The sequence below is a fragment of the Homo sapiens genome, chromosome 12, assembly GCF_000001405.40.
Source record: "Homo sapiens chromosome 12, GRCh38.p14 Primary Assembly".
NCBI lineage: Eukaryota > Metazoa > Chordata > Mammalia > Primates > Hominidae > Homo > Homo sapiens.
Window position 1 is genome coordinate 64,482,447 of NC_000012.12, and position 26,860 is coordinate 64,509,306.

The 26,860-nt window shown below is 37.8% G+C and overlaps 2 protein-coding genes and 1 long non-coding RNA gene across 7 annotated transcripts in view; 2 read left to right on the forward strand and 1 right to left on the reverse strand.

Annotated features, from left to right (window-relative positions):
- The window catches only part of TBK1 (TANK binding kinase 1), a 49,995-nt gene extending 30,327 nt beyond the window's left edge, over positions 1-19,668 (forward strand). For 3 of the 4 annotated variants that reach the window (XM_005268810.2, XM_005268809.2, NM_013254.4), the window contains exons 9-21: positions 1,857-2,053; positions 3,009-3,067; positions 3,480-3,571; positions 6,041-6,142; positions 7,595-7,673; positions 13,037-13,158; positions 13,253-13,329; positions 13,921-13,960; positions 14,503-14,604; positions 14,717-14,813; positions 15,202-15,308; positions 15,522-15,593; positions 18,884-19,668. In XM_005268810.2, the coding sequence (XP_005268867.1) occupies positions 1,857-2,053; positions 3,009-3,067; positions 3,480-3,571; positions 6,041-6,142; positions 7,595-7,673; positions 13,037-13,158; positions 13,253-13,329; positions 13,921-13,960; positions 14,503-14,604; positions 14,717-14,813; positions 15,202-15,308; positions 15,522-15,593; positions 18,884-18,935 (1,198 nt within the window). In that variant the 3' untranslated portion in view covers positions 18,936-19,668. Of the gene's footprint in view, positions 1-1,856; positions 2,054-3,008; positions 3,068-3,479; positions 3,572-6,040; positions 6,143-7,594; positions 7,674-13,036; positions 13,159-13,252; positions 13,330-13,535; positions 13,644-13,920; positions 13,961-14,502; positions 14,605-14,716; positions 14,814-15,201; positions 15,309-15,521; positions 15,594-18,883 lie in introns of those variants that run through there. The other variant, XR_007063071.1, reaches the window with a different exon arrangement.
- Positions 23,670-26,860, reverse strand: part of LOC105369803 (uncharacterized) — a 31,065-nt gene continuing 27,874 nt past the window's right edge. The window contains exon 4 of the long non-coding RNA NR_188079.1: positions 23,670-25,029. This is a non-coding gene — a long non-coding RNA (uncharacterized LOC105369803). The remainder of the gene's footprint in view (positions 25,030-26,860) is intronic.
- The window catches only part of RASSF3 (Ras association domain family member 3), a 190,601-nt gene continuing 188,258 nt past the window's right edge, over positions 24,518-26,860 (forward strand). Inside the window, exon 1 of one of the 2 annotated variants that reach the window (XM_047428712.1) lies at positions 24,518-24,883. In XM_047428712.1, the coding sequence (XP_047284668.1) occupies positions 24,607-24,883 (277 nt within the window). In that variant the 5' untranslated portion in view covers positions 24,518-24,606. The remainder of the gene's footprint in view (positions 24,884-26,860) is intronic. The other variant, XM_047428711.1, reaches the window with a different exon arrangement.

The following is a 26,860-nucleotide window of genomic DNA, read 5'->3' on the forward strand; positions in this document are numbered from 1 at the left end:
ACCATAATAATGGTTAAAGCACCTGGCTCCGGAAAAATAATCAGTGTTTGTTTTATGTAAACAAAAACACATTACACCCATGTGATTAAAAAAAACTACCCATGTGATAAAACTGCATATAAAGTTTTGGTCAATGATGGACCATATATACAACACTGGTTCCGTAAGATTATAATATCATATTTTTACTGTACCTTTTCTATGTTTAGACATGTTCAGATATACAAATACTGTTTCTAATTATGTTACAGCTGCCTGCAGTATTAAGTACAGTAGCATGCTGTACAGGTTCGTAGCCTAGGAGCAGTAGGCTAGCTACCCTATATAGCCTAGGTGTGTAGAAGGCTATACCATGTAGTTTTCTGTAAATATACTCTGTGATGTTCACACAATGATGCAGTTTTTAGAACTATTCCCATCATTAAGCAATGCATGACTGTACACATACATATACTTGCATGTAAAACTGGGGAAATTTGAGTAAGTTGGGTGTATCAATGTTAATAGCTGGTTGTGATGCTTTGCTATATGCAGGATGCCACCATTGGGGGAAGCTGGGAGAAGAATATATGGTGTCTCTCTTCATCATTTCTTAGAACTGCATGTGAATCTACAGTGATGTCAATGTTTTGTAAAAAGCTCACCCAGTGTGATTATCGTTAATAATAACTTAATTGTACATTTTAAAATAGCTAAAAAAATATAATTTGATTTTCTGTAACACAAAAGATAAATGCTTGACTGGATGGATACCCCATTCTCCATGGTGTGATTATTATGTATTGCATGTCTGTAACAAAACATCTCATGTACCTCATAAATATATTCATTTCCTATGTACACACAAAAATTAAAAACAAAAAATTTTCAAAAGGTGACACAGTGGAGGCTTGTAGAGCCAAATTACAATATTGCTGCTGAAACATTTCTTTTGATGTCATTGATCTATTCATGGGGAAGCTGTCTTTTCCCCCGAAGCATCATTTTGAAAATACCTAGTTTTATTAATGTATTTAACAAACATATAGTCACATAACAAGTGCTGTTCTTGGTTCTTTACATATTTAAGCCATTTAATCCTCACAACAATTCTGTGAAGTGGGTACTGTTATTATTTCCATTTTACTGATGAGGAAACAGTGCAGAGGAGTTAAGTCACTTACGGTTTTATAGGAAGTTAGTGGAAGAGCTGAGATTTGAACCCATGTATCTGATTCAAGTCAGTGCTCTAAACCGCTCTGCTATGTTGGTTCTCTATTTGAAAATATTAATAATCTTGGCCAGGCACAGTGGCTCACACCTGTAATCCCAGCACTTTGGGAGGCCGAGGCAGGTGTATCACTTGAGGCCAGGAGTTCGAAACCAGCCTGGCCAGCATGGCGTAACCCTGTCTCTATTAAAAATACAAAAATCAGCTGGGTGTGGTGGTGCATGTTTGTAATCCCAGCTACTCAGGAGGCTGAGGCACGAGAATCGCTTGAATCCAGGAGGCGGAGGCTGCAGTGAGTCAAGATCGTGCCACTGCACTCCATCCTGGGCAACAGAGCGAAACTCTGTCTCACATACACACACACACACACACACACACACACACACACACACAGAGGAAAGAAAATATTAAGAATCCTGTATATTACACAGGTATCCAAACATAAAAATACTTTAGAATTGCTTACTGTATGGACAGGTTATATGGAATGGAGTTTGTAGTATCCACATTAACAAAGCAAGTTTATATGGACTGGTTATGATATTAGGGATATGAATTAGAAATGGATGTTGTTGCACTCATTTAAAATATTTTGCCTCTCACTTTATCCCCAGTTATAGTGTCCTTTTGAATTTTTCTCACACAGTGCTACTATATTTCATGAACTGGTATATAAACAAACCAAAATTATTTCTTCAAATCAAGAACTTATCTACGAAGGGCGACGCTTAGTCTTAGAACCTGGAAGGCTGGCACAACATTTCCCTAAAACTACTGAGGAAAACCCTATATTTGTAGTAAGCCGGGAACCTCTGAATACCATAGGATTAATATATGAAAAAAGTAAGTTGGGATTTTTCTTGTCGTTCTTACTAGCCATTAGAAAAATACAGCCAGCCTGGGCAACATAGTGAGACCTTGTCTCTACAAAAAAATAAAACAAAAATTAGTGGGGCATGGTGGCTTGCACCTGTAGTCCCAGCTGCATGGGAGGCTGAGGTAGGAGGATCACTTGAGCCCAAGAGGCAGAGGTTGCAGTAAGCCGAGATTGCACCACTGCACTCCAGCCTGGGAGACAGTGTGGGACCCTGTCTCAAAAACAAAAAAATCCACAAAGTCTGTCATTGTAGAAATGATTGTCATCCTTATAAAGCTGATGATAATATTAGTGTAGAGCTTTCATAAATATTAAAATTTTATAAATTACTATAGTTGAAAGAGAGTAATTGTAAAATTGAAAAAGCCTTGTAGACATGATTTGACTTCAAATATTTTGTTTCCTAAAACGATAAAATCGTTTGTCATACGTTTCACTGTAACTCTCTTTAAAAAGTGTTTTGCTAACACTCAAAATTACCTTTTATATCATAAATTTCAGCAAATATTTTTTGTGTGCAGTATGTATAGAACATTGTGCCAAGCTTTAGAGTCTAAGAAAAATTAGATCTGCATTTTTAGAATCTTTTAAATTACTCATTCTACTGGTAGAAAAAAAAATGGATCACCCAGAATTTTACAGTTCTATTTGAAGGTTGGGATTTGATGTAGATTTAAAGAGAAGCATTGGACTCATTGTGTTGGTGTATATTTAAGGAAAAAATGAAACTCCTTAGAAATATTTGAGGTAATTTGTTAGAGAATGAGCATTATTGTTTGAAGTGGTGTTTTTTTAATCACGAAAACTACATTACAGATTTTGCCACTAATGTTTAATTTAGACATTGTGTTTGCTCTATAAAGGATAAAGTGATTTTTTCAAAAAGTTTTCTTTCTCATTTTATTTTACTTCATATTTCAGTTTCCCTCCCTAAAGTACATCCACGTTATGATTTAGACGGGGATGCTAGCATGGCTAAGGTTAGTATTTAATTTAATTACTATGTAAACATCTGAATTTAATGTATCCTATCAATAGTGGAAGCAATAACATGTATTGTGTCTTCATGTATGTCTATATGACTTAGGAAATTATTCACTTAAATTGATACCCTTTCCAAGTGATTTTGTGGTCTTTCTTTTTTACTTTTTATCCTTTCTTGAATTCATTATATAAGAAAATTCTCTCCATTGAGATAGTGCATGTTTAGATAATGTTAAGGATAACATATTTATTATATTTATATCTATTTTTAACTCTTAGAAATTGGTGGTTTATTGTGTTTTTAATTAACCTGATAAAAATGTGTAAGCTTGAATAATTTTGTGTAAAAGTTTTTCTTACCCTATACCACAATTAGCACCAAATATTGACATTTTATTTCTTTATTAGGCAATAACAGGGGTTGTGTGTTATGCCTGCAGAATTGCCAGTACCTTACTGCTTTATCAGGAATTAATGCGAAAGGGGATACGATGGCTGATGTAAGTAATAGATTGAAATTTTGAAATTGATTTTCATGTAGACCTTGCCCCATCATTGATATTTTCTCTCTTCAAACTAGTTAGGTTAGGTGCTTGATTTTTATTATAATACATTTGTTTCACATTTAGTTTATAAAACATTTAGCAGCTCATTTTTCATGAGTCCTACAATGACCTTGTGAGACAGAACAAATAGTATCTGAATTTTAAAACTTACACCACGCTATAGGATGTGACGGCAAATGCATTTCTTTTCCTAGGACCTTGAGTAGTTGGTTGTCATTTAACTATGTTAGAAGTCTTTGGCTTGTTAGAATTCAGTACAATCTGTACTTTCTAGCATTTAAGTCCTCAAAGTCTTCCTTAATTTCCTACCATTTTCCCAAATGAAGTACACAGTCCTTTTTTATCACACCGTATTTTTTTTTTTTCTTTTTGAGACAGGGTCTCGCTGTCACCCAGGCTGGAGTGCAGTGGCACAATCACAGATCACTGCAGCCTGAAACTCCTGGCCTCAAGTGATCCTACCACCTCACCTTCCCAAGTACCTGGGACTATAGGCATGCCCCACCACACCCAGCTAATTTTTTTTTTTTTAGTGATGGGGGGTCTAGTTATGTTGCCCAGGCTGGTCTCAAACTCTTGGGCTCAGGCAATCAGCCCGCCTCAGCTGGGATTATAGGCATGAGCCACACCCAGCCTTCACAACATTGAGATATAATTCATATACTATATAACTCATGCATTTAAGCATACAGTTTAATGGTTTTTATTATGTTCAGAGTTGTGCAGCCATCATCACTAATTTTAGAACATTTTCATCACCCCAGAAAGTATCTCTGCATCCATTAGTATTCACTCTCCATCTCCGCCTAAACAGCCCTGCCCTAGGCAACCACTAATATACTGTTTGCCTGTTCCAGACATTTCATATAAATGAAATTATACAATATGAATATATAATCTAACAAGCAATTTAAAAGCTAATTTTTTAAAACTAGATCGCTTAATATAGTTATTCTAGTTCAGAATAACTGGTTATCTAGTTTAAGTAGTTTCTTCCTGAAAGTGACTCTAAGAAATGTAAGATGGATGTAATTTTTACCTGTTTTTTACTTTAATGATTTATAGATGTCATCTTTCCATCTGAAAAAAATGGAAAATACATTATCTCTTTTGGAAATTATGCTTGTTTCTACACATCATTCAAAGCTTTTGAATTTTGCGTACACATCATGATGGCCTTGTGGCCGACAGATGTTAAGAAGTTTGTTTTCTGCACTCATGTCGCTATGTATGTGCCCTTGGACTGTAATGCTTTTGACAGTTTATGTATGCCTACCTCATACCCACCCCGTCTTGCAAAAGTGTGTATGAAGCATTTCATCACTCTTTTTAGGCTCCTTTTTTTTTCTGTTAGCATTATATGAAACCCATAAATTTGTGTTTATCTTTTTCACTGTGTTCACATATCTTAGTTCCTAAGCCTATGCTTTTCTGTTTCCACTAAGAAGCTTCCTTGTTTTTACTGGTTTCTGGAAAAATCTCTGTGTACTAACAGTTTTTATTTTCTCTTATCTATCGTCAATTGCTGATCCATGAAGCTTTTATTCCTTTTACTTATTAGTTTATAGTCCAATAAGTCATGAGAAAATAGTTTTAATGTAAACCACTGTTGGCAAACATTTTCTTTAAAGGATCAGTCTAATATTTTAGACTTTGTGAGCTGCATATGGTCTCTTCTTTGTTTTTACAATCTTTAAAAGTGTAATGTTAGCTCATGGGCCATACAAAAAGCAGGCCTCAAGTCTTAGTTTGTTGATCCCTGATGTAGATCAAAAGCCCTTCAATTATATATTTCTTACTGTGTCATCCTTCTTCAGATGACATCACAAGTTGAGCATCCCTAATAAAAAATATTCCAAAAGTCAAATCTTTTTGCTCAAAGTTTATGCTCAAAGGAAATACTCATTGGAACATTTTGGATTCTCAGATTAGGGATGCTTAACCAGTATGTATATATGCAAATATCCCAAAATCCAAAATCTGAAAAACACTTCTGGTCCCAAGCATTTCAGATAAGAGATATTCAACCTGTAATTGGTTTAAAGTATAAATCAGACAGTAGTCTACTCTGAGTAGTAAAAATTAATTCTGGTGGTATAAACTGTAATGCTCTACAAACTATTTGTGTAATTGTAGATTAGTTTTTACTCCTTAATGTAATTTTAATACCTTAGGTTTTTAAACTGTTAACCTAAGTAGTAATGGTTTGTGAAAATATGAGTTCCCTAATACATCAGGATCACAGAAATGCTTATTATAATAATGTTTCAAAAAGTGTGAATTGATGAATATCATGAATATTGTTATAAAATGTTTTTGAACTGTAGTACTGCAGTATAATTAGTGATAGATAGAAAAAATAACTCCTTAGATAAACTAATTAGAATAATTTTCTTTTTTTAGTGAATTAATTAAAGATGATTACAATGAAACTGTTCACAAAAAGACAGAAGTTGTGATCACATTGGATTTCTGTATCAGAAACATTGAAAAAACTGTGAAAGTGTGAGTAGACTACTTCCTTACTAGTAGGGGTTAAATTATTAAATGTTCCATTTCTATTTAAATGACTTAGTTATCCTTGGCACAATATGGCATGCTATGCTAGGGTTTCTATTAAAGATCAGCGGCCTGGCACGGTGGCTCATGCCTGTAATCCCAGCACTTTGGGAAGCCAAGGCAGGTGGATCACGAGGTCAAGAAATGGAGACCATCCTAGCCAACATGGTGAAACTCCGTCTCTACTAAAAATACAAACATTAGTTGGGTGTGGTGGCGCACGCCTGTAGTCCCAGCAACTCGGGAGGCTGAGGCAGGAGAATCGCTTGAACCCAGAAGGCAGAGGTTGCAGTGAGCTGAGATCATGCCACTGCACTCCAGCCTGGTGACAGAGTGAGACTCCATCTCAAAAAACAAAATAAAATAAAGATCAGCCTTAGATTAGTGATTACTTTATCATCACAAAGGCAAAAATGCCAGTTTTCTTGGTAAGAAGTGAACACCATCTCTTAGTGGCATTTCCTCCCAGCCATTGGGCAGGAAAAGGTAGTGGGAAAAACATCTCATTTCTATCTTGTAAAACAGAAACTGTGAATAAGAAAATATGAAACTTGTAATCAACAAAGGAAATAGGAAGAGATATTCTAGAACAGCCTTTTAGTAGTATTTTTAGAATTATAGGAATTACTTTTAGTTTATTTTTACTTGTTAATCTTATTCCTGAGAACACGTTTTGAAACAGAATGATATTTTTAACTGCCCTCTTTCTAGAATATACTATTTGTACTGCAGAGGAAATACAATAAATGAAATCAGTATTCACTATTGACCTTCATTAATTCTGAAATGTATTTTTACTATTATCCTCATATAAGATTATTTGAAATTAATTTGTCTTTTCTGTTTTATCCATCCCTTAATCTGCAAATTTAAAATAGAAGCAGATAAAATTCCTTCTTCAGGAAGGCATCAGGTTTTTTTGTTTTTTTGGTTTTTTTTTTTTTGAGAGAGAGTCTCACTCTGTCATCTAGGCTGGAGTGCAGTGATGCAATCACTGCTCACTGCAACCTCCGCCTCCCAGGTTCAAGCGATTCTCCTGCCTCAGCCTCCCAAGTAACTGGGACTACAGGTGCATGCCACCACGCCCGGCTTATTTTTTTTTTTTTTGTATTTTTAGTAGAGATGGGGTTTTACCATGTTAGCCAGGATGGTCTCCATCTCCTAACTTCGTGATCTTCCCACCTTGACCTCCCAAGGTGCTGGAATTACAGGCGTGAGCCACTGCACCTGGCCGGCATCAGGTTTTTTTTTTAACAATCTGCTGGCTTATAGACTTTGAATCAATTTTTTATTTTTAAATGGTTATGATGAAAGCTGAAATTATTATTTATAAAACATCTTTTTAAAACTATGTATTGATTATACTCATTTAATTTTCTCTTTTGACTTTTCATACAGATATGAAAAGTTGATGAAGATCAACCTGGAAGCGGCAGAGTTAGGTGAAATTTCAGACATACACACCAAATTGTTGAGAGTAAGTGTTTACAAAATTACGAAATTTGTAAGCTCATAACCTATTCCTTTGCTGGCACTATTAGATTTAAACTTTCTTAGGAGCTAGGCATGGTAGTACACACCTAGAGTCGCAACTACTCAGGAGGCCGAGGCAGGAGGATCACTTGAGCTGAGGCATTAAAAGCTGCAACGAGTTATGATGGTGCCACTGCACCCTAGCCTGGGCAACTGCACGAAATCTTGTCTGTAAAATAAATAATTTAAATAAATAAACTTTCTTATAGAGATGATATTTCTCACTGCAGAGAAAGAATTTTTCCCATCTTTAGAAACTTCTTTACAATATTAAATAATCTTACTGCCTTGAAATTTTTTGTAACATATTCAAATGACTACTGTAATTTAAACCTCTCTCGCTGCCTCTCTCTCTCTCGGTGTTTAAATCCATAATGCTCTTGTGTTCTTGCTGTGGCAGTTAAAGCAAGTTCATAAATGTAATTTCACATGCAGTTGAATGTAAAGTGCTTGAGCTTGTTTAGAAATAGATTTAAATTAGGCTGGGCGCGGTGGCTCATGCCTGTAATTCCAGCACTTTGGGAAGCCAAGGCAGGTGGATCACCTGAGGTCGGGAGTTTGAGACCAGCCTGGCCAACATGGTGAAACCCCGTGTCATTAGCTGCGTGTGGTGGTGGGCACCTGTAATCCCAGCTACTTGGGAGGCTGAGGCAGGAGAATTGCTTGAACCCAGGAAGCGGAGGTTGTAGTGAGTCGAGATCACACCATTGCATTCCATCCTGGGTGACAAGAGTGAAACTCCATCTCAAAAAAAAAAAAGATTTAAATTAGAAAAATATTATCAGATTTTTTTCTAAAATAAAAAAGGAAAGAAAGATTTGAGGTCTTCAAGGCAGTAATTACTTCTATAGCTAGAAAAAGAAATTAGGACACAAGTCTCTACTCTGCTGAAAAATACAATAGAACTTCTGGGAGTCTCTGAATCTCTTATTAACATGTATTATAGAAGTGCGCAGGTTTATATATTAGTAATCAGTGAGAGCTGATTACTACTCCCAGACCTGCCCCATTTACCTGCCTACTCATGACTGGCTACTTAAGCAAGGCCTTTTAATTCTTTGCATCCTTGGTTTCTTTTTCTCTAAAATCAGCAATTTCTTACCCTGCCCGTCTTATGGGTTGTTGTACTAATTAAATGAGATAAATAAAAATACTGTACTCTTGGCTGGGTGTGGTGGCTCACACCTCTAATCCCAGCACTTTGGGAGGCTGAGTCGGATGGATCACTTGAGTCCAGGAATTCAAGACCAGCCTGGGCAACATGATGAAACCCCATCTCTACAAAAAATACAAAAAAATTAGCCAGGCATGGTGGTGCATGCCTGTGGTCCCAGCTACTTGGGAGGCTGAGACAGGAGGATCACTTGAACCGAGGAGGCGAACGTTACAGTGAGCCGAGATCGTGCCACTTGCACTCCAGCCTGGGTGACAGAGCCGAGACTGTCTCAAATAAATAAATAAATAAATATATTGTAATCTTGCAAGCTTTTAGTATTCGAAGTATTCTTTCATAAAATGGATGTTAAATTAAAAGTGAAAGGAACTTGATACGATATCCTTTTCACTTTCCAGCTTAGGCTGATGTTTGTTTCTTTTCCTCAGTTTTAGATCTCAAACAGTGGTTTTCAAAATATGAGTAATGAACAACTAGTAGGTTATGAAGTTGGGTGCCTTGTAATCAGCAATGTATTTTTCAGTGGAACAGAATAGAAAATGTCAGAATGTGTCACATATAATAAGGAAATCATTGTTTATGAAACTTTGATTCAGGTATATACACACTTTAAATGTTACTGAGTTAAAACAGTGAGTTTCTTACTATGAGTTGTGGTCAGGAAAGTTTGAAAACCATAGCTATAGAATAAGGTGATTAAAAGTCAGAAAGCACAAAATAGTCTTCCCCAGTATTTGTCTGCATTTAAATATAGGCAGCCATATTGCTGTCAGTGTTTTATATTCTTCTCTGTTTTCACCTTAGAACATGATTTACCTGCTCATAGGCCTAGTGGACATTTATTTCCAGGGCCAGCATCGTTTGAGCACTTTAAATCAAAATTAATATATTTTCTTTTGGGGATCTCAAAATGTTTCTCATTTTTATGACATTCCTGTGAGATTAAGATTTCTTTTTATTTATTCATTTATTTTTAAACAGAGTTTCCCTCTTGTTGCCCAGGCTGGAGTGCAGTGGCGCGATCTTGGCTCACTGCAGCCTCCGCCTCCTGGGTTCAAGCAATTCTCCTGCCTCAGCCTCCCGAGTAGCTGGGATTACAGGCATGTGCCACCACACCCAGCTAATTTTGTATTTTTAGTAGAGAAGTGGTTTCTCCATGTTGGTCAGGCTGGTCTGGAACTCCCAACCTCAGGTGATCCGCCCGCCTTGGCCTCCCAAAGTGCTGGGATTACAGGCATGAGCCACCTTGCCTAGCCAAGATTAAGATTTCTTATGAGAAAGCATAGATGACTAAATAGCTTGAGGTAATGGAGTCTTATGACATCAGGACTTCTCACTTCAAGCCAATTACTTTTCCGTAGATATCATTTTTTCTCTTTTTCTTTTTTTTTTGAGATGGAGTCTCACTCTTTCGCCAGGTTGGAGTGCAATGGCGTAATCTCGGCTCACTGCTACCTCCACCTCCTGGGTTCAAGTGATTCTCCTGCCTCAGCCTCCTGAGAGCTGGGACTTCAGGCGCCCGCCACCACGTCCAGCTAATTTTGTTTGTTTTTTTTTTTTTTTTTGGAGACGAAGTTGCTCTTTTGCCCAGGCTGGAGTGCAGTGGTACAGTCTCGGCTCACCACAAGCTCCGCCTCCTGGGTTCACGCCATTCTCCTGCCTCAGCCTCCCGAGTAGCTGGGACTACAGGCTTCCACCACCAGGCCCGGCTAATTTTTGCATTTTTAGTAGAGACGGGGTTTCACCGTATTAGCCAGGATGGTCTCAATCTCCTGACCTCATGATCTGCCCACGTCGGCCTCCCAAAGTGCTGGGATTACAGGCGTGAGCCACTGCGCCCGGCTTCGTAGTGGAGACCTTACAGACATTTTTCCCACCACAAAAGTAAAATTTATAAGTAGAAAAAAATACCACATATATTATGCACCCAAAAAATGATGCTTAAAAGTTTTGTCCATTGCCCTGCAGCAGTGCTTCTCAGAGTGGCTCCTGGGCCACAGGTCGCAGTGGTTCACACCTGTAATCCCAGAACTTTGGGAGGCTGAGGTAGGCGGATCACTTGAGGCCAGGAGTTCGAGACCAGCCTGGCCAATATGGTGAAACCGTGTCTCTAATAAAAATACAAAAATTAGCCGGGCGTAGTGGCAGACGCTTGTAATCCCAGCTACTGGGGAGGCTGAGGCAAGAGAATCACTTGAACCTGGGAGATGGAGGTTGCTGTGAGCCGAGATCATGCCACTGTCCTCCAGCCTGGGCGACAGAGACCCTGTCTCAAAAAATAAAAAAAAAGTAAAGAAGAGTGGCTCCTGGGCCAGCAGCTTCAGCCTCACATGGGAACTTATTAGAAATGCACATTTTGGGACCCCACCTCGGATGTGTTGAGTCAGCAACTCACTGGCAGAACCCAGCAAAGGCCCTTTTTAATAAGCCTTCCAGGTGATTCTCATGCTGCTAAAATCTGGGTAATCACTGTTTTCATTTTCTTTTATATGTATTATTAAATGACTGTTACTCTACAAACATATGGTTGTTATTTTTACTTTTTGGATACCATTATAGTGTAGGCATTTCCCAGGTTTTTTTGGTAACACCATTTTCTTAATGATATGATGTTGCAGCCAGTGGATTTATTACAGTCTTACTTATTATTGCTCTACTGTTGGTCCTTTAGTTTGCTTTTCACTCTTCTATGTAATGCTGTAAGAAATGACTTTTTCCATAAACTATTTTCCATATATTGGATGTATAATTTAACACATTCTAAACATTAATGTTAAAACAGACATAAAGCATAAAAACCGAGATATATATTTGATCATATAAAAATTTAAGCTGGGCACAGTGGCTCATACCTGTAATCCCAGCACTTTGGGAGGCCAAGGTGGGGGTAGACTGGTTGAGCTCAGGGGTTCAAGACCAGCCTGGGAACATGGTGAAACCCCAACTCTACCAAAAAAAAAAAAAGAAAAAAAAGAAAAAATTAGCAAGACGCAATAGCACGCACTTGTAATCCCATCTACTCAGGAGGCTTAAGGTGAGAGGATGGCTTGAACTCAGGAGGCAGAGGTTGCGGGAGCTGAGATTGCACCACTGCACTCCAGCCTAGGCGACAGAATGAGACTCTGTTTCAAAAATAAAATAAAAATTTAAGATCTGTACATGTTTAAAAAATGTTAGAATGCAAATAAGTTGGGAAAATGTGATAAAGGGTTTTTTATAAAAAATAACTCATACAAATTGATAAGGAAAATAGTCAATCTGCAAAAAATAGATGAGCACAGAACATTTAGAGACAATTTATAAATGAAGAAAATATATCTGGTGAAAACACTCTTGAAAAAATGCTCAAATCCAATAGTAAGAAAAAATTGCATAACAGTAAGATACTATTTTTGTCTTTCAGATTATCAAGGCTTAAAAAATTATAATGCCAGTGCTGACAAGAGTGTGGTTTAAAGGGCATCCTTATTTGTTGCTAGTGGCAATGTCAGCTACTACTGACAACATTATTTGAAAGGCAATAGTGTGTATCAGGACCTTTAAAATATATGGACATATTTATCCTTTAAGTCTAACCTTCATCCTTTCTTCATAAGTTTTACAAATACTGTATGCATTTCTGTGGTAGGTAAGTGATAAACTTACTAAGCTTAAAATGAACAGAATCTTAGATGAGGTTTCTTTTCATTTTCTGTTTTTAAGAGGAGTTGCTTTGGTTTGGCCTCTAAACAAGAAGAGCACAAATCTTGCTGCCTACACAGTTGATATTTGGAACTATTCTAGTGGTTCTATTTAATTTTCAAAACCGGGTTATGAAATGGAGAATTAACCACTTTTTACAGATAAGGAAACAAGATTAGAAGTATTTTACATGTGGTTTTAGAAGGGTGTTTACTGAATGAACTGTTTTATAAGATGTATTACTGCTGGTCTCATGTTTTATTATCATACTGTACCCCTGGTGGAAATCAACCTAAGAAACTCTTTTGTATTTAAAAATGGAAATAATTACTGTGCCTTTGAATTGAAGTAATCTACAAAAGAAATGTGGTCCAGACTTTAGACTTTGTTGGGACTGTGATGATCATTTCTGGCTTTTGGCAATCTGGATCTGAACCTTTGGTTTTATTTAGCTTTCCAGTTCTCAGGGAACAATAGAAACCAGTCTTCAGGATATCGACAGCAGATTATCTCCAGGTGGATCACTGGCAGACGCATGGGCACATCAAGAAGGCACTCATCCGAAAGACAGAAAGTAGGTTATAGCTTTATGCGTAGTTTCTGCTCTTATTAATGTCCTTTTTCACATTGACTCAGTTAATTTATTTGAGTTTTTCTTCCTTAAATAGTGTAGAAAAACTACAAGTCCTGTTAAATTGCATGACAGAGATTTACTATCAGTTCAAAAAAGACAAAGCAGAACGTAGTAAGTAAAATTTGCTATTTGTTAATTTAATAAATCCCTCTTAGTAATTAGTTATAATTCAGTTAAATTAATTTGGTATATCTGTAAGGGTAGCTTCTTAAGCTGTTTTTTTCAGAGATGTGATTCTGTCAGGAAAAAGGTTGATTGTGTTAAAAAAAAAAAAAAAAACTATCCTTAAAATCAACCTTTTGAATACTTTAAATCAGGGTCATGAACACCAGAACCTCTAAAGGCCAGGCAGGTAACAGAAAGGAATGAGATTGGCCAGTGGGGACTCATCTACAGGGGAGAGCCACTACTCATATTCACCAAAGGTATTGCCCAATCTTCCCATTTCTCAAAAAAAGCTAGAAATACAGAATTTGTTAGAAATACCTTGATTTTTAAATGTTAACTGTTAATTGTTTTTTACATTGTTATTTACAGACCAAATAAAAGCATCTGTGGGCCATAAGTAACCAATGAGCCACAAATCTATGACATCTGCTTCAGACTCTTAGCCTTTTTGAAGCAATAATCTCAAAAGAAAATACATTGTGTATAATATTATGATTCTATATTAACAACAGTAATATATTTTCCTATTTCTAGGATTAGCTTATAATGAAGAACAAATCCACAAATTTGATAAGTAAGTATCCAGATTATGTTTAATAGTTATTTTTGGTGCTATTTTGGTTATCTTTATTAATATGATTCTTCTTAAAGTTGAAATTAATTACAATTTAAAAATACATTTTAATCTTGATTTTACAGGATTGTTACAATATGTAGACATTTTTGAGGTTCACACATCTGCTCCCTAATTGGGAAGTTACCATGATGGGAGAAGGAGGGGGGAGAAAGATTACCATTTCAGTCAGTCAGCTTCTGCCTCATATGCTCTGATTACAGAAGTACAGATAATACAGCACATAGGCAAGGGCAGACTTAACTACCGTCTTAATTTTAACCGCATTCAATAGGCATTTTTTTTACATCCATTTTGAACCTTCTCTTTATCTTCTTGCTGCTATAATGTCTATCTTAGAAACGTTTACTTTCTCCTGTAAATATTCTAAAGCCACAACAATCATTATAGGAAAGATACATTTCATATATTTGAAAATTTCTAAATATTGAAAGTAGAAACAGTGACATTGGTTTAAGCCTCTGATTATTTCTAAATTACAGGCAAAAACTGTATTACCATGCCACAAAAGCTATGACGCACTTTACAGATGAATGTGTTAAAAAGTATGAGGCATTTTTGAATAAGTCAGAAGAATGGATAAGGTGAGTAAACTTCTTTTGGAGTGATTAGTGGTTGACTGCACAATATAAATGTATATTTGAAGTAAGAATGCTTCACTAGACTGCATATCAATTGATTCTTTTTGGTTTTCAGAAAGATGCTTCATCTTAGGAAACAGTTATTATCGCTGACTAATCAGTGTTTTGATATTGAAGAAGAAGTATCAAAATATCAAGAATATACTAATGAGGTAGGTACAGCTGTCAAGGAAAAATTAAAATTCTTCTCAGTTTATAACTGATAGTGATTGACAAGGGAGAAATGGGATAGAATGTGCCTACATTCAGTTCCACCCACCAATTTTTAATATGTATTTTGAGCCAAGTTTTAAGAATGTAGATGTTTTACAACTAAAAACAGCTGATAAACCATCCTTTTATCAACTGTATGAAAAGTTTCTTTCTTAAAAGGGTGTTGATTTAAGTATTGTATCATCGATAGTTTTGAAATCAAAATTTAAAGTTTTTTTAAAGGACTTATTAAAAGCTGTAACACTTGATGTCAGATCTGTAGTAAGTACTTTTGTTCTGTGATTAATGTGGGGTTTTTTTCTTTTTTTTTTTTTTTTGATGTTTCAGTTACAAGAAACTCTGCCTCAGAAAATGTTTACAGCTTCCAGTGGAATCAAACATACCATGACCCCAATTTATCCAAGTTCTAACACATTAGTAGAAATGACTCTTGGGTAAGAAACTCATCATTTGGAAACTGTAGTGTTTCCATTTGCTTTCATTGCAGTTTGTGCTTTTGCTCTTACATTTTGAAATTTTTTATGTTTGTTGTAATACAATGTTTAATAAGGTTATCTATTGACCAGTTAAAAGAAAATAAAACATAAACATCATTCTAAAACATTTGCATACTGTTTTTGAGCAAAGGTGCTTGTTTATTTTATTAGTATGAAGAAATTAAAGGAAGAGATGGAAGGGGTGGTTAAAGAACTTGCTGAAAATAACCACATTTTAGAAAGGTGAGTAATGCAAAAATAATTACTGTGATTTTCTGTGCAATTGAGTTCATTCACATCTGTACTTATATCTTCCTGTATCAATAGATTCAGCAGTGGTAAAGGGTCATAAAGTCAGAACTCATGTTTTTCTCTCTATGATTGTGTATCTGTGATGCCTTTTAATGGTTGATTAGTTCCATTTTATAGAAGCACTGGTTAATCGAATTACTTATTTGAATCAGTTTGTAAAGATCAAACTCTATTTACATTATTTTTATAACTTAATTCATTGGAATCATAATTTTCAATTTGGTGAATCAGAGTTGCTTTTTAAGATACCAGCACTTTGGTGCTGAGTAGCTTACGGGGTCCTCTGCACACCTCCTTGCAGGTGAAAGCCACAGGTAAATGCAGTACTTTGAGGAGTTAGGTGTCTGCTTATTATCTGCAAAATCCTAATAGATAAGGCCAAAGAGATTTGAAAGCCTGCAGAGGCAATAAAGCAATTTTTGGATGGCAGTTTTCCTTATCCTGATTCCTCAGAGAAATTAAGTCATATTTGGCTCTGTAATAGAACCTTTTCTTTTTCAAGCCCTTAGGTTCTCCTCTATAGGTTCTCAAACGCTTGTAATGCTAATAAAAATATTTCACATTTGGCCAGGCACGGTGGCTCACACCTGTAATCCTAGCACTTTGGGAAGCCAAGGCAGGCAGATTGCCTGAGCTCTGGAGTTCAAGACCAGCCTAGGCAACATGGCAAAACCCTGTCTCTACCAAAAATACAAAAATTAGCTGGGCATGGTGGTGCACACCTGTAATCCCAGCTACTGGGGAGGCTGAGGCACGAGAATCACCTGAATCTGGGAGATGGAGGTTGCAGTCAGCCGAGATCACACCACTGCACTCCAGCCTGGGTGACAGAGTGAGACCCTGTTTCAAAAAAAAAAAAATGGATATGGAATTTTTGGGTCAGAGAGTATGTCAATTTCAATTTTTGTTGGGTTTTACTAATTTTATTCTTTTTTTTTTTTTTTTTTTTTCCCCCGAGACGGAGTTTCGCTGTTGCCCAGGCTGGAGTCCAATGGCGTGATCTCAGCTCACTGTAACCTCTGCCTCCCGGGTTCAAGTGATTCTCCTGCCTCAGCCTCCTGAGTAGCTGGGATTACAGGCGCCCACCACCACACCCAGCTAGTTTTTTGTATTTTTAGTAGAGCTGGGGTTTCACCATGTTGGCCATGCTGGTCTTGAACTCCTGACCTCAGGTGATCCACTTGCCTCAGCCTCCCAAAGTGCTGGGATTACAGGCATGAGCCACCGCACCCGGCCAATTTTGTTCTTTAAAAGGGTGCATGTTATAGTCCTAAGCAGATAAAACCTATGCATTTGGCAACATTGAATGTATAACATCTTTTAAACATTCGCCAATTTGTTTAGTAAAAACCGAGATCTTATTTTAATTTATATTTCTGTGGTTTATAGTGATGTCAAACATCGTTTAATATGTTTGTTCAATTTTCATTTTTGGGGAGAGTTACTCGTTAACTTTAAAAAATATTTTCCTTGTTTATAGTAATTATCTAACTTTTATAGTATCCAGTTTACAGTTTCTTCAGAACTTTAGCTAAATCCTTTTAGGCTTAAAGATCACCAAGTAGAAGAGACTATAAAGATGTGCTTTTTTTTTTTTTTTTTTTTTTTGAGATGGAGTCTCGCTTTGTCGCCAGGCGGGAGTGCAGTGGCGCGATCTTGGCTCACTGCAACCTCCACCTCCCGAGTTCAAGCGTTTCTCCTGCCTCAGCCTCCCGAGTAACTGGGACTACAGGCACACGCCACCATGCCCAGCTAATTTTTGTATTTTTAGTGGAGACAAGGTTTCACCATGTTGGCCAGGATGGTCTCAATCTCTTGACCTCGTGATCCACCTGCCTCGGCCTCCCTGAGTGCTGAGACTACAGGCGTGAGCCACCGTGCCCAGCCAAAGATGTGCTTTTAACTTTTATATTTAACTACTTATGCCTTGTGGAATAAAATCCCAACTTCCTAAACCACATTTAGTAAGTCAGTTCCTCCTGTGTTTTATTTGCAGGTTTCTTGACAATATATAGGTGATATAACATGGCATAATCTTAACGTAAATGTTAAGTGACAAAACTAGTAATGGAAGCCAGATTTTGTTCAGAGTATTATACTACTCTGTCTCCATGTGGATAACCCACTATCACTTCAAATTTTTTTTTGAATCTAAAATCATCTGTCCCAACTCAGTTTTCTCTCTGCTCCTTATCCTGTTCAAAGGTACCACCTTTCTCCTACTCCCTTAAACATAAATTATTTTAGACACTTAATCTTCTTTATACCCTCTCAACAAGTTTGGCTCCCATATTTCCCCTCGTCACCCTCATTCAGATCTCCTTTCCCTTTCATATGTGATATATGGTAATAACCTATTTTTTTTCTTAACCCCAAGCTCTTCCCATCTGTCATGGGTATTACAGCCAAAATCATCTTTCAGAATACTGATGTAATCGTATGACTTCTTTGGCTCAAAAGTTTCTAAACTCCTGTTACCTAAAAAGTCAAGTCTAAATTTATACTTCAATTCAAAGAGTGTAATAGCCTGGTTCCAGCCTGTTCACCCAACTTTACTTCCCACTGCTCCCCAAAATAACATTGTGTTCTAGCAAGGTCTCATTTCTCAACTTCCTTTGGGTATGTCACACTCCCAACTCGGTATCTTTTTTTTTTTTTTTTTTTTTTTGAGACAAAGTCTCACTCTGTCACCCAGGCTAGAGTGCGGTGGCATGATCTCGGCTCACTGCAACCTCTGCCTCCCGGGTTCAAGCAATTCTCCTGCCTCAGCCTCCCGAGTAGCTGGGACTATAGGCACACGCTACCACACCCAGCTAATTTTTGTATTTTTAGTAGAGAAGGAGTTTTGCCATATTGGCCAGGCCGGTCTCAAACTTGTGACCTCAAGTGATCTGCCTGCCTCGGCCTCCCAAAGTGCTGGGATTACAGGCGTGAGCCACTGCGCCGGCCCCAATTCTATCTTAGCTTATAAATCCCACCCCACCAGAAAGAAATTATCCAGTTCTTACTGACAGTTTCTTAATTACATCATTACATCGGTTTTTCATGTATTTATGATAATACCATGCTGTTCCAGTAAGAAATAGAACAAATCATAGTTACTTAAACTCTTTAAAAATAAATAGCTATTTATTCCTCTGAAAAGTATTTTAAGGTTGGGGGCCTTTATACATAAATGCAACTTTTGAGATTACCTTTTTTTCTTTGTGTGTGTGTTTTAGGTTTGGCTCTTTAACCATGGATGGTGGCCTTCGCAACGTTGACTGTCTTTAGCTTTCTAATAGAAGTTTAAGAAAAGTTTCCGTTTGCACAAGAAAATAACGCTTGGGCATTAAATGAATGCCTTTATAGATAGTCACTTGTTTCTACAATTCAGTATTTGATGTGGTCGTGTAAATATGTACAATATTGTAAATACATAAAAAATATACAAATTTTTGGCTGCTGTGAAGATGTAATTTTATCTTTTAACATTTATAATTATATGAGGAAATTTGACCTCAGTGATCACGAGAAGAAAGCCATGACCGACCAATATGTTGACATACTGATCCTCTACTCTGAGTGGGGCTAAATAAGTTATTTTCTCTGACCGCCTACTGGAAATATTTTTAAGTGGAACCAAAATAGGCATCCTTACAAATCAGGAAGACTGACTTGACACGTTTGTAAATGGTAGAACGGTGGCTACTGTGAGTGGGGAGCAGAACCGCACCACTGTTATACTGGGATAACAATTTTTTTGAGAAGGATAAAGTGGCATTATTTTATTTTACAAGGTGCCCAGATCCCAGTTATCCTTGTATCCATGTAATTTCAGATGAATTATTAAGCAAACATTTTAAAGTGAATTCATTATTAAAAACTATTCATTTTTTTCCTTTGGCCATAAATGTGTAATTGTCATTAAAATTCTAAGGTCATTTCAACTGTTTTAAGCTGTATATTTCTTTAATTCTGCTTACTATTTCATGGAAAAAAATAAATTTCTCAATTTTAATGTAAAGAGTTCATGTGTTTCTTTGTATCCAGTTTGTGAAACAAAAGTTATCTTTTGAAAGTAACAATATAGATGATAATCATAAACTACTCAGAATATTGGATCTAGGGACAATTTTCTGTCTCTTCTAAACCCACTAATTCTAAATTTAGTATGAAGTTCTTTCATATACTTAGGCTATTATACAAATTGAAAAGGAACATTTCCTTTTTTTTTTTTTTTTGAGACAAGAGTCTCGCTCTGTTGCTCAGGCTGGAGTACAGTGGTGTGATCTCTGCTCACTGCAACCTCGGCCTCCGAGGTTCAAGCAATTCTCCTGCCTCAGCCTCCCAAGTAGCTGGGATTACAGGTGTGCACCACCATGCCTGGCTAATTTTTGTATTTTTAGTAGTGATGAGGTTTCACCATGTTGGTCAGGCTGGTCTCAAATTCCTGGCCTCAAGTGATCCGCCCGCCTCAGCTTCCCAAAGTGCTGGGATTAGAGGGTTGAGTCACCACGCCCAGCCGAAAAGGAACATTTTCTCTGAAAAATATACTCAGAGTTCTAGACTAAGGGATTGTGCTCAGCAAGAAATTATTTCATCCAACAGGACTTTTCTTTCTTTTGGTTTTGGTTTGTGGCTTTTCAGACTGGTGAAGTGTGATTACATAAAACCCGCGTATCATAAAAATAACATATCCTAAAGAGAAATAAATTTGTCTACCAAGAACATCAGTAACTTCATCAGTTTTAAGAAATGATTAGGATCTTAAGTGAGATTATGATGCATTATTGTAGTGGAGAATTTTAAGCGTCATATGTACACGTAACAAATAAATGCAAGGGTGAATGCCTTTATTTAAATAATACAGTTATCCACTGTCAGTTACCTGTTTAGTTTGAGAGTGTGTGGGGCAAGGAAGTATTTAATCCCTCTTTATTTTAATTTTCCATTTGACCGTCTAATATGGGTATCTTGTATAGTTTAAAAGCTTATATCACTGAATATTAGGTAAAATTTTACTCAAATTATGTGATTATTTGATATATTTGCCAATTTAGTTTTTATTTCAGCACCTCTAGCAAACAACACCAATAAATAGAACCTTTATGTGGCGATTGTATTTTTATTAATAGTATTGATAGGAATATATCTATTCCACAGTAGTATTTTTTGAGATTTACTCTTTTATTTCCCCCTTACAGTGACATGGAAGAGAAGCATTCTTGCTTTCAGTATTTTACCCTCAAAAATGCATCCTCATTCAAAACATTTATTTTTCAAAACATTTTAAATAAATAAATGCATGATACCAGTCTGCTAATGTTCAGTGACTATTTAAATGAAATTAGCTTTAAAATAAGTTGTATCTTCACTTTAGTAGCTTTTTAAAAATATTATAATGTTTTGAAAAGATAGCAATTAATGGTATAAAAATAGTATATATAACAAATAGAAGATGGGTGTGATGGCTCATGTCTGTAATCTCAGCGCTTTGGGAGGCTGAGGCAGGGATATCACTTGAGATCAGGAATTCTAGACCAGCCTGGGCAACATAGCAAGAGCCCTGTCTCTACAAAAAAAAAAAAAAAATTTTTTTTTAATTGGCCAGGCATGGTGGCATGTGCCACAGTCCCAGCTACTCAGAGGCTGAGCTGCGAAGACTGCTTCAGTCCAGGAGTTAAAGGTTACAGTGAGCTATGATTGCCAGCCTGGGTGGCAGAGAGAGACCCTGTCTCAAAAAATTAAAAAAAAAAATAGAAGCGTTAGTAGATGTAACTCTTAGCATAAAACAAGTTATAGTACTGACAGCAGAAAAAATAAAAGTGAAATATGTGAATATAAAGTATATCAAAAGAGAGCTTTGGCCGGGCGCGGTGGCTCACGCCTGTAATCCCAGCACTTTGGGAGGCCAAGGCGGGCGGATCACCTGAGGTCAGGAGTTCAAGACCAGCCTGGCCAACATGGTGAAACCCTGTCTCTACTGAAAATACAAAAATTAGCTGAGCATGGTGGCAGGCGCCTGTAATCCCAGCTACTCGGGAGGCTGAGGCAAGAGAAAAGCTTGGACCTGGGAGGCGGAGGTTGCAGTGAGCCAAGGTTGTGCCACTGCACTCCAGCCTGGGCAACAAGAGTGAGACTTTGTCTCAAAAATAAAAAATAAAAAAATAAGGGATAGCTTCAAGTAAATAAACAGGAATGTAAGGTTAGGAAAGAAATGGGAAAAATAATCCCATTAAGTAAGTCTCCTAAAATTCGAGCTGCCGGCGGGGCACGGTGGCTCATGCCTGTAATCCTAGCACTTTGGGAGGCTGAGGCGGGCCGATCACCTGAGATCAGGAGTTCGAGACCAGCCTGGCCAACATGGTGAAACCCCGTCTCTACTAAAAATAAAAAATTAGGCTGAGCGCAGTGGCTCACGCCTGTAATCCCAGCACTTTGGGAGGCTGAGGCAGGTGGATCACGAGGTCAACAGATCAAGACCATCCTGACCAACATGGTGAAACCCCTTCTCTACTAAAAATACAAAAATTAGCCGGGCGTGGTGGTATGCACCTGTAGTCCCAGCTACTTGGGAGGCTGAGGCAGGAGAATTGCTTGAACCTGGGAGGCAGAGTTGCAGTGAGGTGAGATTATGCCAACCGCACTCCAGCCTGTCAACACAGCAAGACTCCATCTCAAAAAAAAAATAATAATAAAAATAAATAAATAATTAGCTGGGTGTAGTGGCATGCACCTGTAGTCCCAGCTACTTGGGAGGCTGAGGCAGGAGAATCACTTGAACCCAGGAGGCGGAGGTTGCAGTGAGCTGAGATCGCGCCTGGGCAACGGAGTGAGACTCCATCTCAAAAAAAAAAAAAAATCCAGCTGCCATTATTTTGGAGGTTACCAAATTATTGGCTTATAGACCTGATTATACCATGTCAAAAGAAATGCTTCTTAGATATTAAAAAAAATCAACATTTCTTTACAAATGTAGTGTCTTTATCCATAAATTATCCAGAAAAAAATTACAATAATCCTGAACTTTTTATGATTGTTTTGGTTTAGATTGTTTTTCTTTGGTTTTTGTTTTTTGCAATAGTGTTTACCTTTTGTGGTGGTCTGTGTTAAAAGTAAGAGATACATTGTTTAGAATTAAGAAAGGGACTATCAGTAGGAATAAGGACTCTCAACTGAAATGTCAACAATTTATTCCCCTTTCAGAACAGCCACCACCAGGGCTAGTCTTTTTTTTTTTTTTTTTTTTTTTTTTTTTGAGATGGAGTTTCACTCTTGTTGCCCAGGCTGGAGTGCAGTGGCGCAGTCTCAGCTCACTGCAACCTCCACCTCCCAGGTTCAAGTGATTCTCCTGCCTCAGCCTCCCAAGTAACTGAAATTACAGATGCCCACCAGCATGCCCGGCTAATTTTTGTATTTTTATTAGAGACGGGGTTTCACCATGTTGGTCAGGCTGGTCTCAAACTCCTGACCTCAGGTTATCCGCCTGCCTCAGCCTCCCAAAGTGCTGGGATTACAGGCATGAGCCACCGCACCCGGCCAAGAGCTAGTCTTTTGTTTCTAATTTCACCTCACTCCGATGTGTTTTATATGTTGTGCTTTGTCTTTGAGGAAGTGCTGCAGAAAATTTATAATTACTCAAACAAATTTTTGAAACTGAGAAGTGCTGGGGCAGACACACATAGTTGAAGGGAAAAACATTGAAAGAAATCTTTACTATTTTAGCTGGATTCTCCACCCCACATCCCACTTTTAAGAAGACCTGAAAAACTCTTACACTGTTGTTTTAGTTAGACTTGCTCCCCACTTGTCACTTGTAAGAAGAATCAAAGTCCAAATTCCTAAGAAATACTGAAAATGGAATAGGAAACAAAAACATCTGATCTGGAAATAAAAACTGGCAATATAATAATATCCGTTGTTTCTCTTTAGAGAGTAAATCAGCTCCAAAAATTTGCTGTGGCATATAAAAAGCAAGCCCAAATATTACATCAGGCTGTTTAATCGACTTAGCTCCTAAATGAATATATGAATAAGTTTATTTCTTTTGACATAAACAGAATGCACAAGGACCAACTGTTAGACATAGTCTTAGGAGTGATGATGGGGAACCTCAGTACAAGCTGCGTGGTAGACAACTAGGCATTGATGTCTGCTGAAATGCTGAAATGGATTCAGTAATGTTACAATGTTAGAAGTTCTAGAGAATTGTTCAATAAATGGTTAAAGATCAAAATAGGACCCTGGGGGAAAATGGTCTTTTGCATCTTTTTTTTTTTTTTGAAGAGTCTTGCTCTGTCACCCAGGCTGGAGTGCAGTAGTGCTATCATAGCTCACTGCAGCTTCCATCTTCTGGATTCTAGCAGTCCTCCCACCTCAGCCTCCTGAGTAGCTGGGACTATAGGTACGTGCCACCATGCCCAGCTTTTTTTTTCCTTTTTCTAGAGACAGCATTTCGCTTTGTTGGCTCGGCTGGTCTTGAACTCCTGGGCTCAAGCAATCCTCCCACCTCAGCCTCCCAAAGTGCTGGGATTACAGGTGTGAGCCCCTGTGCCTGGCCCTTTTACACATTTTTTGACTCATAAGAACTAATTTTTTTTTTTCTGGGATAAATTCCTGCTAAAGTTTCAAATAGGTTTCATTTTTCCAGTAAAAATGCACAAAACAAATGGGATCAAGGCTATGGCTTTAGGAGATTGCTTGTCCATCACCACTAAGTCCTGCAAATTACCACTGACAATTCTGTTGGAAGTTGAGTTAGTGGATCCTGTTTTTTTTCACTCCTCTATGAAAAAATTGTGTTTTTATGAACGAGGTCAGGAGGTCCATGCTTGAAAATTACCAAGTGTTGCATTAGGTTAGAGCTTCTCTTAAGAAAGCTTAAAACTCTTTCTTTAGAAAGAACATCTATTAATACAGTTTCTAGTTATGAGGGCCAAGGTCTAAAGGACAAGCCAAAAGAATGACAGAGGAAGGGGATTTAGGGCTAACAGGTGGTCCCCAGACATATTGGCTGAAAGGCAGTTCACAGCTAAAGTGTCATATGTGGGTGTTACTGTGCTCCTCATCCATGCTCTCTGTAGCGAGTCATTCTGGAACACTCCTGGTTCTCGCTATGGCCATAAGAAGTGACTTTCATGAGACCTTCAGAAGAATAGCCCGGCTCTTTTACTGGTTCCCCAAATCACTGACCTGCTCAAAGAATCGGAAATCCAAGCTGCTCTGGAGCCAAGGTGGGGGTAAGTTACCTCAGGCTAATGCCTTATTTCAAATCCGTTTTTTTGTGTGTGTGTGTTACATTTTAAAATGGAGCCTCCCTCGCATGGGCAGGGAGGAGTGGGAAAGAAAAGTCTTGAAGCCTTTAAAAGGTATTCCACTTGGTCATCTGGAGGGAAAATTGAGAGAAAATAAAATTAAGCATTTTGAGGCTGATGTATTAGAAGCCATGAACATTGTTACAATCCAATTGTATGCTTTTTAGGCATTTTGATTCCGAAAAGTTGACTAAAGAGAGATGGAGAATGTTTAGTATTTAAAAACAACAAAAACAGCTCTTATTCTCAGGGACTCTTAACTTGTCTTAGTACTAAAACATCTTAGAATAAACAGAACACAAAAAATAAGTCACAGTGAGTTCCCCTCCTTTCCATAGAAAACTAAAAAGGTCAGTGGGCCTTAAATCTCTTTTATTTGGGTCAGTTTATGCATCATATTTTAGGTATTTATTGATGTGAGAATTTAAAGCACCTTATATTTGCTACCATATAAAGCCCTGCCTTTTCTGTCCAGTCCTGCCTGACTGGAATATGCAAGGGTCAGAGGAGAGGGGGTTAAAGGGAGTAGATGACCCCTCCAAGTCTGGTATCTGAAGTTCCTGCAGGAGCCCAGCTTTCACCTTCATACTCTGCAGCACTGGTTGTACTACTCACACTACTGTAAGCCAATTCTCTCACTTCATAATGTTTCATCTTGCAACTGAATCAAAATTCTCATTATGTTTCTTTCACACCCATGTAGCTCAGAATTTTATGTAAGTGCTTAACAATTACTTAAGATGTATTATGTGTTTGATACATTATCAAACATAATCTGATGATGTGCTAGATTATCCAGTGCCAGATCCTCCTTTAAAAACAAGTGACGACTGGGCACCGTGGCTCACACCTGTAATCTCAGCACTTTGGGAGGCCGAGGCAGATGCATTACCTGAGGTGAGGAGTTCGAGACCAGCCTGGCCAACATGGTGAAAACCTGTCTGTACTAAAAATACAAAAAAATTAGCCGGGCATGGTGGCTGGTGCCTGTAATCCCAGCTACTCAGGAGACTGAGGCAAGAGAATCACTTGAACCTGGGAGGCGAAGGTTGCAGTGAGCCAAGATCATGCCACCGTACTCCAGCCTGGGCAACAAGAGCTAAACTTCGTCTCAAAAAAAAAACAAAAAACAGAAGTGACTATGATCTATAATCACCAAGGCAGGTATATGATTAAGACATTTATTTAAAAGCATGCAGACCGGGCGCGGCGGCTCATGCCTGTAATCCCAGCACTTTGGGAGGCCGAGGCGGGCAGATCACCTGAGGTCGGGAGTTCAAGACCAGCCTGACCAACATGGAGAAACCCTGTCTCTACTAAAAATACAAAATTAGCTGGGTGTGGTAGCACATGCCTGTAATCCCAGCTACTCGGGAGGCAGAAGCAGGAGAATTGCTCGAAAACCCAGGAGGTGGAGGTTGCGGTGAGCCGAGATTGTGCGATTGCACTCCAGCCTAGGCAACAAGAGTGAAACTCCGTCTCAAAAAACAAAAACAAAAACAAAAACAAAACCATGCAATTCATTTAAAAAAAAAAGAAATTTATAAAATATAAGGCCTAGGACATTTCAATCTTCCATTTTTTCTTTAATTTTTTTTCATTCTCACTGTCAAAATAGGGAGAATTTAACTTAATCGTTTAAGTCTCTGTTTATATGTACCATTCTTCAGATATGGATTAACATAATTTGGGAAGTTAGAGCCCCAAAAGAACTTAAGAAAAATCATCTTCACCAATTGCTTCATTTTAAAGATAAGCAAAAAGGCCAGGGGCGGTGGCTCATGCTTGTAATCCCAGCACTTTGGGAGGCCAAGGTGGGTGGATCACTTGAGGTCAGGAGTTTGAGACCAGCCTGGCCAACATGGCGAATCCCTGTCTCTACTAAAAATACAAAAATTAGCC